Source organism: Homo sapiens, chromosome Y (assembly GCF_000001405.40).
Source record: "Homo sapiens chromosome Y, GRCh38.p14 Primary Assembly".
In the NCBI taxonomy this organism is placed as follows: domain Eukaryota; kingdom Metazoa; phylum Chordata; class Mammalia; order Primates; family Hominidae; genus Homo; species Homo sapiens.
Genome location: NC_000024.10, coordinates 13278082 through 13291338, shown reverse-complemented (window position 1 = coordinate 13291338; position 13257 = coordinate 13278082). Strand labels below are relative to the sequence as shown.

The window sequence follows — 13257 nt, the reverse complement described above, 5'->3', positions numbered from 1 at the left end:
GCTTATATTTTGTTAAGGATTTTGGCCTGTGTTTATACTGCCCAGTACTTTCTCTTTTTAATTGTCTTTGTCTGGTTTTGATATATGAGTAATACTGGCCTCATACAATGGGTTTAGAAGTATCTCTTCCTCCTCTTTTTCAGAACAGTTTGAGTAGGATTGGTGTTAGTTCTTTAAATGTTTGGTAAAATTCAGCCGAGGGCGGTGGCTCACACCTGCAGTCCCAGCACTTTGGGAAGCTGAGGCGGGTGGAGATGGAGAGCATCCTGGCTCTACTAAAAATAAAAAAATTGGCCAGGTATGGTGGCACGTGCCTGTAATCCCAGCTACTCAGGAGGCTGAGGCAGGAGAAATCGCTTGAACCCGGGAGTCGGAGGTTGCAGTGAGCCAAGGTCGCACCACTGCACTCCAGCCTGGCAACAGAGTGAGACTCCGTCTCAAAAAAAAAAAAAATTATGTAAGTTTCAGCAGTGAGGCCAACCACGGTGGCTCACGTCTGTAATCCCAGCACTTTGGGAGGCTGAGGTAGGTGTATCGCCTGAGGTCAGGAGTTCAACACCAGCCTGGCCAACATGGTGAAACCCTGTCACTACTGAAAATACAAAAGTTAGCCAGGCATAGTGGCAGATGCCTATCATGCCAGCTACTTGAGAGGCTGAGGCAGGAGAATTGCTTGAACCCAGGAGGCAGAGGTTACGGTGAGCCAAGATCATGCCACTTCACTCCAGTCTGAGCAAGGGTGAGACTCCACCTAAAAAAAACAAAAACAAAAAACTTTAACAGTGAAGCCATCAGGTCCTGGGCTTTTCTGTGAGACTTTTTATTATGGCTTCATTCTTGTTAACTTATTACTGGTCTGTTCAGATTTTGTATTTCTTTTAGTTCAGTCTTGGCAAGTTGTAATTGTATATGTAATGTGTCTGTTTCTTACAGGTTTTCTAATTTATTGGTATATATAGTTGCCAGTAATAGCCTGTAGGGATTCTTTGTAATTCTACATTTATCAGTTGTAATATCTCTTTTATCCTCTCTGATTGTATTTATTTGAGTCTCCTGCTTTTTTTTTGTTGTTGTTAGTCTAGCTAAGAGTTGGTCAATATTGTCCTTTTAGAAAATGAACTTTTTGTTGCATTGATCTTTTATTTTGTTTTCTTCATTTATTTCTACTCTAATCTTTATTTTTCTTCTAACTTTGGTTTGATTTGCTCCTTTTTTCTACTTGTTTAAGATGCATTTTTAGGTTGTTTCATTGGAAGTTTTTCTTTTTTGCTGTAGGCACTTATAGTCATAAACTTTCCTGTTAGTACTGGTTCAAGTCAGCTATTGTTTTTTTTATTTATTTTTTTTTATTTTTTTTTGCCAGGTGGGTGGGTCTGGGTGCTTTATACATTATTCTAAAGTAGGTGTTGAATTCCCCTACTATATTTTTGTATTGCCATAAACATCCTCCTTCATATCTGTCAATATTTTCTTTATATATGTGTAGGTACTCTGATGTTGGGGTGCCAGATATATTTCTGATAGTTACACTTTCCAGTTGAATGGACCCACTTGTTACTAGGTGATGACCTTTCTTTGTCTAGAGACAGTTTTAGATTTATCTCCCGTAGGATTTGTTATGGTAGCAGGACGAGCCGCAGACAAAACTTCTCAGAGACGTAGTTGTAGAAGGAAGGGCTTTATTCAGCTGGGAGTATTGGCAAGCTACTGCCTTAAAATCCGAGTTCCTTGCATGAGCAATTCCTGTCCTTTTTAAGGGCTCACAACTGTAAGGATTTCACATGAAAGGGTTGTGGTTGATTTGAGCAAGCAAGGGGTACATGACGGGCTGCATGCACCAACGGACAGAGAGAAACAGAACAAGGCAGGGAGTTTCACAGTGTTCTTCTATACAATGTCTGGAATCTATGAATAACATTGGTTCTAAGTTATGAGCTGATTTTTAACTACGGGGTTTAGGCCAGGCAGGCCCAGGCCTGGTTTCGGGCCTGGCGCCAGGCTGCCTGTCTTTGGTTTTACTTTTTTGTTTTTTAAAACAGGTACTGAGTATAAAACAATATGAGAGGGTCTCTCTCTTCCCTCATTTCCCCCCTTTGAGAATCTCACTTTTTTATTAGTGGGAGTTCTCACTTTTATTTTTGCTACTTATGTCTTTTTGTGCAATAGATTGATAGTGATTTATATAGTACACTTGTGCTGAAGCATTTTGGTGAACTAAGGTAGCGATGAAGCTTTTATATATTTAAAGAAGTACAGGTAGCAAACAAGGGAGCAGTAAGCAGGTTTTTATTACTATTATTACTCTTAGAGTTTAAATCCTTTTATTGCTGGGAACTAATTTCTAAACATGGCTCCTGGATTGAGTCTGTGCCACACTTGCACAGGTACATGTGCCAGTTTTGTTATCTCTTTAACTATATCCTCAACTACTTGCCTCTGATCATCTATGTGTAGACAACAATTAGTAAGGTTAAATTTTCTACAAACTTCTCCTTCAGCTGCTAGCAAGTAGTCAAGAGCTAGTCTATTTTGATAGATAGTATTTTTCATCAGAGTCTCTTGCTGGGCAGGAACAGTCAAGACTTGATCGGTTTTATTAGTAATAATTTCTAAAACAGCTTGTAACCCTATGATTCGGTTGAGCATGTAGATGGGGTTCGATATCCTCGTGAGCCATCTTATGCTAAGTGACGGGTCTATAGTATTGTATGATTCAGGGGGCCATTCATTATCTTTCTAATCACCTATGGCTATGCTTCATTTTTCTCAGGAAGCAGACTGGGAAGCCTAGAAGTTCACTGTTTTTATGGGCAGTGAGAAGAAAGATGGCTTAATGGTGCCAAATACACAGCTACCTGTCCACTGATCAGGCAGCTTAGCATAAGCTGTGTGTCTGCATATCTAGTATAACCTGGTGGGGGCCGTCCAGTCCCGGTGGAATTCTGGGTGGGCCTAAATAGTCTGCAACTTTGGAAATTTACTGAATGGATCTTTTTCTGTGTAATTGGAACTCCACCATGTAACTGTTTTTGGTGGGTTTTTTTTTTTTTTGCGGTACTATTATACAGTTTTTGCCTTACACAACTAAGTCACCTTACAGAATGAGTGAATTCTTTTCGTTTTTAGCTATGCAATATTGTCTAATAATTAAGACTTTTAGAACTTAGAGATGATCAGGGTGATTCTTTTGGGCCAGGAATTCATCAGGAACTGGGTCTGTAGGCACTAATTCTTGGGTTTCTTATGGCCATTGATCTCTTATTAGTTTTTCTACAAACATAACATGAAGTGACATTTAGAGACTGGGCTACATGCTCGGCTAATTGCAAAAACAAATTTCTGGTTTTTCTTGGAGTCTCTGGTACGGGCACATTTAGTTTATCATAGAAAGTCTGAAATACTGGTTCTGGAGAGCATCTTTGAACCTCTCCTTTTATTAGGATGTTTATGCTAGGACTTAGTCTTTTCTTATTGATGCCTAGAGATATGTGTTCTCCTTTTTTCTACCTTGGGTTTAAGGGATTTGTAATTATTAATTTCAAGGGGTTGCAGCCTCTATTCATGCAGGAGGGGCTGCCTTCTCTTTTTTTGCAGCTAAGGATCTTTTTCATCTTTTTTCTAAGTCTAGATGACACAAGACTAGTAATTACACACATCTTACATAAATATGATTCTTGACAGATATACTTATTTTTTACTGTGTAACTTTTTTTGTGTGTGTGTGATTTAGAGCACCGCATCTTATTCTATGCTGCTTACTATCAGTAGCAGCACAAGTGTCAAATTTTTTTTTTTTTTTCCAAAAGCCTTGTTTTTATTTATATAGAGTCCTAACCACTTCGGTGGTAGGAGGAGTGGGAGAGGCTCTTTTTTCAATCCAGGGACCTCCATGATATTTGTTTGTTGTTACCAAACACACAGGTAAGTGGCATCACGGATCTGGTAAACTAACAACAATGTTTAGTCTCTCTCTGCTAGAGCAACAAGATGAGCATCAATCTCTGCTTCTGTAAGAATCCTGAATTTAGGATTTTCAACTGTCACTACTCCAACTTCTATTTCTGAAGGTTTGAAATCAATTGATAGAACAGTAGACAGGCATGTAATTGCAGTTTCCAAAGTCTGTTCAAATGTCCAGTCAAATTTCTTCTTCACTTTTTTTTCTAGGAAGCTGGTTGACTCAGTTTGTTTAACTCCCACTGCAGTGGCTTTACACCCACAATAGTAACCTGCAGGATCACACTTACATACCTGAGGGCCTTGCTCTTCATCTATACCAATTAAAATCATACAACAACCAAGAGGCCTCATTTCAGCATTCCGTGTGTAGACCTGAGAAATATCGGCAATTCTTTTACACAGCATGTCCACAGGAATTTCATAGCCATACTTGTATTTCCAGTTAGCTGCCTCATAGCGTGCCCTCTGTACCTGGGATCTGCTGTCAGCTGTCATTCCGGTCATAACACAACCAATGTTTTCAGTTATCTTGAATAAGGGAGTCACTGTGCTGGAATCCAATAATTTGTCAGGTACTTTCTTCTGTGGGACAATTACTACACAGTCTTAACCTCTGACAGCTACTGATGTAAGGCCACCCTGGTTAATAGCCTTAAAAGCATATTCTACTTGGTAGAGCCGACCCTCGGGTGAAAAAATGGTAATGTGGCGGTCAAAACCAGCGCTGGAACCATGGGACATGTTGGTAGAAGCACTACTTCAAACACAATCCCTGGGCCCCATAGCTCCCGCACCAGGCACACAAGCACCTCCCAAGTGTCAAATTTTAAGGTTACATTTTTGGGGACCTTTCTTTTTTCTATCCTAGCTATTACCTTACTTGTGTCACCTAGAAAAGGACCAGTCCTTAATTTTATTTTAAAAACTGTGATCATGGGAGGCTTAAAATGGGTCATAACATGCATTAGGTTGGTTATTCCCTGGGCTACATACCTTGGATAGAATAGCATTATATAAACAAGTTTCTTTTAGAGTCCTGGTACACTTATAATAACCATAAAATAATAGGACTGTAGCAATCTTTTCTCTTACCTCAGTGGCCTGATGTATGCACTGAAGGCAGTCGCCTGTGTGGGAAGAAGCAGTGGAAGCTTTTACTACACAGGTCTATGTTATAAGGAAAATAAGTCCTAGGACAGTTTTCCTCATGCCTTGGCTCTGCGTAGACCAGTCAGCTTCCGGGTGTGACTGGAGCAGGGCTAGTCGTCTTTTTCAGAGTCACTTTGCAGGGACTGGCGAAGCTGCTCTCATCCATGTACAGCTCCTAGTCTACTGATGTTTAAGGATGGTCTTGCAGGTTGGGCCTTCTAGAATAAACTGAGTCCAATACTTTTACACAGTTATGTTTAACTGGGCTCTCTGATACCAGGAGCAAGGTGGCGGGGTTTAGGGTGTTGCAAACTTCAGTGATTATGCGGGCATTTTCACAGAGCAAGCTTTGGTATCTAGTTAGTCTAGCATTCATTAGCTAATGGTGTCCTTTGGTATTTATTAAAATCACTACAGCATGGGGGAACTTTAGGTTTTGCCTAAGAGTTAGCTTATTTGCTTCTTATGCTAACAGGACCGTTGCTACCAGGGCCTTTGGACATGGGGGCCAGCCTTTGGAAACCCTATCTAGTTGTTTTGAGAGGTAGGCCACTGGCCTTGGCCAGGACCCTACAGTCTGGGTTAAAACTCCAACTGCCATTTTTTCTCTTTCTGACACATACTGTGTAAAGAGTTTTGTCAGGTCAGGTAGCCTCAGGGCTGGGGCTGACATGAGTTCCTCTTTTTAACTCGTGAAAAGCTTGTTGCTGTTTGTTGTAAAAGATGTAGTTTATCTAATTTACGTTTTTATCGACTGTCATCTATTAAAATATTGACTTAAATACTGTAACTATTTGATTTCAAGCTTTAAATTGATCTGGTATTTTTTGCAGGGCTCTAATTGCATCTAAATAGATGCGAGAGTTGAAAGACTTATAAGGGGCTTCTCTCGCTTTATGATGTCTTATTTTTTTTTCCCTCTGGTTGATTAAATGCCAGGGTAAAAGGGATAGCTAAATGGACTAATGCACAAGTGCCACTCTAGTTATTCAGCAGAGTGCCCAGTAAAGGTCCACCACAATATCACTACACATCCACTGAGGGTTGAACAAGGGGTGACTGATTGATAAGCTCTTGAAAATTGTTAAGCTCACTGCATCCCTTCAGGTCTCCAAGGAATGCTAAGTCTCCTCCTTGCCATGAGAGACAAGAAGTGAACTTAGTGTTGGGAGACAGAAGCTGGATGGCCCTCAGGGGCAGACCCGCAGGGATTCTGGGATATAGCAGAGAGAGCTTGGCATGACTTATTACTCCAGGCTGTAGAATTCTGTAAAAGAGCTACCATGCAGCCCACACCTGGTCGACTGGAGGACCACCTTAGCGGAAGGGGGACAATCAGGGCCTCTGGCCTACCATGTGCACAAGCATAACAACTGCTTTTGTTTAATGTGCAGATGGAATATTTGATCTATTTCAGCTAGGCATTTGCATCTTGGTATGCTGTCTTAATTGCCAAAGTTCATTTTAAGTCTTTAACTTCTATGATCCTCTAGTAAAATGAATGTTTCCTTTAGCACCTATTTTTATTAGTTTTTAGACCAAAGAAAGCTAAACACCATTTTATATTTAATAATGCTTCTTGTATGACTTTTATACCAGATAAGCTGAATTTTACCTTTATATTAGTGTGTTAATGTTAAACTTAATTTTAATAAAACCTTGTAGACATATTTATCCAATTTTTTATGTTTGACCATAAGGTAAGATTTTATAGACTCTTTTTAACCTTTTATAATTTTTGTTAAAGAGCAGGTTGATGCTTTAAGAGAAACCTGTTGCATTTTTACTTTAATGTGTAGTTCACAGAGAAACTGGATGATACTTTTTTAACTTTAGCTAATATGGTTACACACAGAATTTTTTTTATAATTAACATTTTAAAACTTGCTTAAACTTTCAAAACAATAATTTTTTTAACCTTTTAATGTAGGTAAAAATCTACATTCTTATGCCTCCTTTTAATCTTTTTACTAAAGGTATATTTTACTTTTTTTATACACCTTGCACATAAACTGTTTCTTCAGTAGTACTCAGGAGGCCTTATTACTTTTAAATTATACAACATTTTTTGCATAAAAATTTTTTTATAACTTTTTTGTCTTTCACAACTTTCACAGACAATTTTTCAACATGTCTCAACTTTCACTTATTACAAACTTTTTTTTTCTTTAAACAGCCAGTTAATTTATTTCGGGACAAGAATTTAGTATATAACACTCTTCTTACATAAATTCTGCCTCCACCCCTTTTTTTCAAAGCAAACTTTCTTTATGTCTTTGGACTAGACTGTCTAAGGCCACAAGATTAGAAGTTACCATGATACGTTATACTGTTAACTTTTAGCAAACTTCACTTTTACTGAAAACCTTGTAAGTTTGAGATTTTAATTATCTTTTGCTAGACCTTGTTTAGTCTAAATTAACTTAGAATTGATATAGATGGCCTCGTTTTCTCTCTGCTGGTTTTTCCTTGCCTCTGCCAGCCGCTTATGCTGCTGTTCTCTTAACTACTGTTAGGGGCCGGGGAAGTGGGTCTAAAACCAGCTGTAACTGTCTATGTACGGAAACTGGTCTGGGTGCCTTGGCTTACAGGTTACCTTGTGTCATACCTTTGAAACAAGGGACCTACCTGTCCAAGCTTCCTTCTGATGGCCAACCCACCTCTAATGCTGGCCAGTCTATTTCACACAAAGTTCTAAGTTTTCCTAGTGTCACAGTAACACCGTAATCTCCTTTAAATTCTTTCTTGAAAATTTTTTTAACATAGTTCCTAGTGGGGTGGTCTTATTTGTGCCTGGCCTATGCTTCTTCAAGACAAAACACTAAGCTGACACCACATGCACACCACAAAACAAAGAACAGGTAAAAAGGGCACACACACACTTTTGCAGTTTACACCAAACCAAAATCAAAACCAAAATCAGAGTATCTAGAAATCCAAGCCAGATCAGAACCAAAACCAAAGTATCATGCAATCTAACTCAAGTCAAAACCAGAACAAAAGTGCCAATGCAGGCACTCCATGGGTGATCAGGCCATGCTTCCACTCCGATGGAATGGGGCAGGTTCCAAAGACTGGTCTTACCAAGTCAAGCCAAGTCAAAACCGGAACAAAAGTGCTAATACAGGCACACCATGGGTGATGAGGCCACGCTTCCACTCAGGTGGAGTGTGGCAAGTTCCAAAGACTAGTCTTACCAAGTTTCAGATGTCCAGACTCCAAGTGCCAGTTCCTTCCTGGTGTTCAGCCACTGTGCTGATCCTCTGCAGGGGCCTGCTACGCGCTGCTTTGGCTAGGCGTTCCACCCAGGCAATTTCTTTCCCGGGAGCGCTCTTTGGATTGCGTCACTCAGGCTGGCCGGAGTCCCCTGCAGGGATGCTCCGCAGGGCAGGCCTAAGGGGCTGCCTCGGCCGTCTGTCAGTTATCATGTTTCCCGGTCAGGGAACCAAGAAATGTAGCAGGATGAGCCGCTGATAAAGCCTCTCAGATACCGAGTTGTAGAAGGAAGGGCTTTATTCAGCTGGGAGTATCAGCAAGCTACTGCCTTAAAATCTGAGCTCCCCCAGTGAGCAATTCCTGTCCCTTTTAAGGGCTCACAACTCTAAGCATTTCACTTGAAAGGGTCATGATAGATTTGAGCAAGCAAGGGGTACATGACAGGGGCTGCATGCACCGGTGGTCAGAGAGAAACAGAACAAGGCAGGGAGTTTCACAGTGTTCTTCTATACAATGTCTGGAATCTATGAATAACATCAGTTTCTAAGTTATGAGTTGATTTTTAACTACTGGGTTTACGCCAGGCAGGCCCAGGCCTGGTTTCAGGCCTGGTGCCAGGCTGCCTGTCTTTGATTTTACTTCCTTGTTTTTTTTTGTTTTTTAAATAAGTACTGAGTATAAAACAATATGAGAGGGTCTCTCTCTCTTCCCTCATTATGTTGTGTTTTTATTGTTACTTGTTTGAAGCAGTTTTTAAATTTTATTCTTAATCTCTTTATTGGCCTTCTGTCCATTCTAGAATGTTTGAAACTATAAAAACAATTGGAAAATTATAATTGTTTTTCCAGTTGAAAAATTTTCCCCAACAAATTTTCCAGTTGCTTTTATACTTTCAAAAGTTCTGCTTGTTACTGATGTCTAGTTTTATTCCATTATGGTCAGAGAAGATATTTCATATTGTTTCATTTTGTTTTTAATGTTTTAAGACTTGTTTTTTGGCCTATCATGTGGTCTGGCCTTGAGAATGATGCATATGCTGAGGAGAAGAATGTGTATTCCGCAGCCATTAGATGAAATGTTCTGTAAATATATGTCAGGTCCATTTGGTCTATAATGCATACTAAGTCCAATGCTGCTTGGTTCATTTTCTGTCTGAATGATCTGACTTGCCCTACGCTGAAAGCAGGGTGTTGAAGTCTCTAGCCATTGTTGTACTGGGATCTATATCTTCCTTTAGTTCTCATAATATTTGCATATATATACATATATGTATATCTGTGTGCTACAGTGTTGGGTGCATATATGTTTGCAATTGTTAAACCCTCTTATTGAATTGACCCCTTTATCATTATATAATGACTTTCTTTGTTCTTAATAGGTTTTATTTTGAAATCAGTTTTGTGGCATAAATACAGCCACTCCTGTTCTTTGCTCATTTTTGTTTGCATAGAATATCTCTTTTCATCCCTTTCTTTTCAGTCTCTGTAGTTTCAGTTTCTTGTAGACAGTATGTTGTTGCATCTTTTTAATTCTGCACTCAGCCACTCTATTTCTTTTGATTGGAGAGCTTAGTTCATTTACATTCAATGTTATGGAAAAGGAATTACTCCTGTAACTGTATTTTTGTTTCATCATTCTGTGTTTTTTCTTTCCTTGCTGTCTCCCTTTTTATGAAGGTGATTTTCTCTGGTGATACTGATGACAACTTAACACTGATTGCAAAAACAAGCAAAGAGAAAACTAAAGGAATTCACACTTTAATTTCATCCCCCTTTTAAACTTTCTGTTGTTTCTATTTATATCTTACTATATTGTCTGTATCTTGAAAACTTTTTGTAGTTAAATTTGGTACTTGAAGAACTCCTGTTAGCATTTCTTGTAGAGCGAGTCTGGTATTGGTGATATCCTTCATCTTTTGTTTGTCAGAAGTATTTCTCCTTTGTGTTTGATATTTTTGCTGGATATACTATTCTGGAAATTTTTCTCCTTAAGCACTTTAAGTATGTCATGCTGCTCTCTCCTGGCTTTTAGGGATTTCACCAGGAAGTCTGCTGACAAACGTTTTGGAGCTTTTTTTTTTTTTAAGTATGTTACTTGTTTCCCCTGTCACTGCTTTTAGGTCTTTCCTTTGTCTTTGATCTTTGGTAATTTTATTCTTAAAGGCCTAAGATCATCTTATTGGGGTTAAATCTGCTTGGTTGGCTGTGTGTAGTGGCCCATGCCTGTAATCCCAGCACTTTGGGAGGCCAAGGCAGACGGATCACCTGAATTCAGGAGTTCAAGACAGCCTGGCCAACATGGTGAAACCCCATTTCTACTAAAAAAAATACAAAAATTAGCTGGGCGTGGTGGTGGGCGCCTGTAATCCCGGCTAATTGGGAGGCTGAGGTAGGATAATTGCTTGAAGCCAGGAGACGGAGGTTGCAGTGAGCCAACACGGTGCCACTGCACTCCAGCCTGGGCAACAGAGTGACACTCCATCTCAAAAACCAAAAAATGTGCTTGGTATTCTGTGACGTTGTTGTACTTGAATATTGATACCTTTCTCTTGCTTTGGGAAGTTCTCCATTTTCCCTTTCAATAAACTTTCTACCCTGATGTTGCTCTCTGTCTCCTTTTTTTTTGAGACAGAGTTTTGTTCTTGTTGCATAGGCTGGAATGCAGTAGCGCAATCCAAGCTCACTGCAACCTCCACCTCCTGGGTTCAAGTGAGTCCCCTGCCTCAGCCTCCCACATAGCTGGGACTCCAGGCACATGCCACCATGCCCAACTAATTTTTGTATTTTTAGTAGAGATGGGGTTTCACTATGTTGGCCAGGCCTGGTGTCCTGACCTCAGGTGATCTGCCCACCTCAGCCCCCAAAGTGCTGGCATTACAGCTGTGAGCCACCATGCCTGGCCTCTATCTCCTCTTTAATGCCAATAACTCTTAGATTTGCCTTTTTAACACTCTTTATAGAGCTTGTAGGTGTGCTTTAATCTTTTTTATTTTGTCTCCCCGATAGTATATTTTCAAATAGCCTGTTTTCAAGCTTACTGATTCTTCTGATCAATTCTGCTATTAGAAATCTCTGATGCATTCTTCAGTGTGTCAGTTGCATTTTTTTAACTCTAGAATTTCTACTTGACTCTTTTTAATCTCTTTGTCAAATTTATCTAATAGAAAATTCCTTCTCTCTGTTATGTTACATACAGTTGTGGTTCCTCAAAACAGCTGTTTTGAATTATTTGTCTGAAAGGTCATGGATCTCTTGTCTCTCTGGGACTGACCCCTGGTGCCTTACTTAATTTGGATATATCATGTTTCTCTGGATTGTCGCAGATGTGGATGTTTGTCAATGTCTGGGCATTGAGGAGTTATTTATTGTAGTCTTCATGTCTGGGACTGCTTCTACCTGTCTTTCTTAGAGGAAGGTTTTCTAGGTATTCAAAGGCGATTTGATGTTGTAATCTAAATCTTTGGTCAGGCCGGATATGGTGGCTCATGCTTGTAATCCCAGCCCTTTGGAAGTCCAAAGCAGGTAGATCATGAGGTCAGGAGTTCGAGATCAACCTGGCCAACATAGTGAAATCCCATCTCTGCTAAAAATAAAAAAATTACCTGGCATGGTCGTGGGCATCTGTAATCCCAGCTACTCTGGGGATCCTGAGGCAGGAGAATCGGTTGAACCTGGGAGGTAGAGGTTGCAGTGAGTCAAGGTCATGCCATTGCACTCGAGCCCAGGCAACAGTGTGAAACTCCATCTCTAAAGAAAAAAATCTTTGGTTGCTGCAGCCGTATCTGCCTAAGGGGCACCCCAAGCCCAGTAACACTGTGATTTTTATGAACTCATAGAGTTACTGCCTTCATGGTCTTGGGAATGATTCAGTAGAATTCTCTGCATTACCAGGTATACACTCTTGTTCTCTTCCCTTACTTTTCTTCAAACAAATGGAGGCAGAGACTTTCACCATTTTAACTCTAGACTTTCACCATGCTGAGACTCCTGGAGCTGAGGGACAGGTGACACAAGCACCCTTGTGGCCATCACCACAGGGACTGCACTGGTTCAGACCCAAACCCAGCACAGCGCACTGGCTCTAACCCAAAGCCCCAGGGTGACCACTGCCTGGCTCCTTCTGTTATTTCCCCACCTACATCAATTAGCAGATGGTGAATGCAGCCAGGAATGTGTCCTTCCTTTGAAGACATCAGGCTTCTCCCCAGCCAAGGGGGAGTTTAGAAATGCCACCTGAGAGACAAGGCCTTGAGTCTGGAATGTTAGGATTCTACCTGGTGCTCTCTTCTACTGAGTATGAGTTGGTACCCAAACTTACAAGACAAAGTCTGCCCCACTCTTCCCTCTACTTCTTGCAGAAGTAGTCTGTCCACATGGTTTCTGTACTCCCAGAGTCACAGAAAGTTCTGCCTGGCTCCACCGAAGTTCACGGAAGGCCCAAGGGCTCTTCAGTCAGCTTATGCTGAATGCAGTCAGATTTGGATCTCTCTCTTTAGGCCAGCAGGCTCCTTTTTTCTTAGAGTGGGTCCAGAATGCCATCCAAGTGCCAACACCTGAAATTGGGGGCCCCCAGGAACCTGCTTTGTGCTCTACCCAACTGTGGCCACACTAGTGCCCAAACTGCAAGACAAAGTCCCGTTTACCTCTTCCCTCTCCTTTCCTCAAACAGAAGGAATATTTCCTCATGGCCACCCCTGTTGAGAATATACTGGGTCACACCTGAAGCCAGCATGGCCCGAGGTCTCAGCTAAGGATTGTGACAAATACTGTCAAGGTATGGCTGATACTTCAAGACCCAAGGCCTCTGTAGCCTGCAGATGTTGAATCTTGCCAGAACTGGGTCTTCTCCTCTCCTTCAAAGGAGTGAGTTCTTTTCTGGCCCAGGGTATGTCTAGAAATGTCATCCAGGAAGTATGGCCTGGAAAGGGAGCCT

General features: G+C 40.7%; 1 protein-coding gene and 1 pseudogene across 105 annotated transcripts in view; one reads left to right on the top strand and one right to left on the bottom strand.

Annotated features, from left to right (window-relative positions):
- The window catches only part of UTY (ubiquitously transcribed tetratricopeptide repeat containing, Y-linked), a 246776-nt gene that overhangs the window by 189332 nt on the left and 44187 nt on the right, over positions 1-13257 (top strand). For 4 of the 105 annotated variants that reach the window (NR_047605.1, NR_047642.1, XM_047442755.1 and 1 more), the window contains one exon: positions 12994-13098. The exons of the other annotated variants lie outside the window; for them this stretch is intronic. Coding sequence is in view for 2 of the 4 variants with exons in the window: in XM_047442755.1 (XP_047298711.1) it covers positions 12994-13075 (82 nt within the window). In the remaining 2 variants the exon portion in view is untranslated. The remainder of the gene's footprint in view (positions 1-12993; positions 13099-13257) is intronic. 105 annotated transcript variants of the gene reach the window in all.
- Positions 3793-4778, bottom strand: PSMA6P1 (proteasome subunit alpha 6 pseudogene 1; annotated as a pseudogene).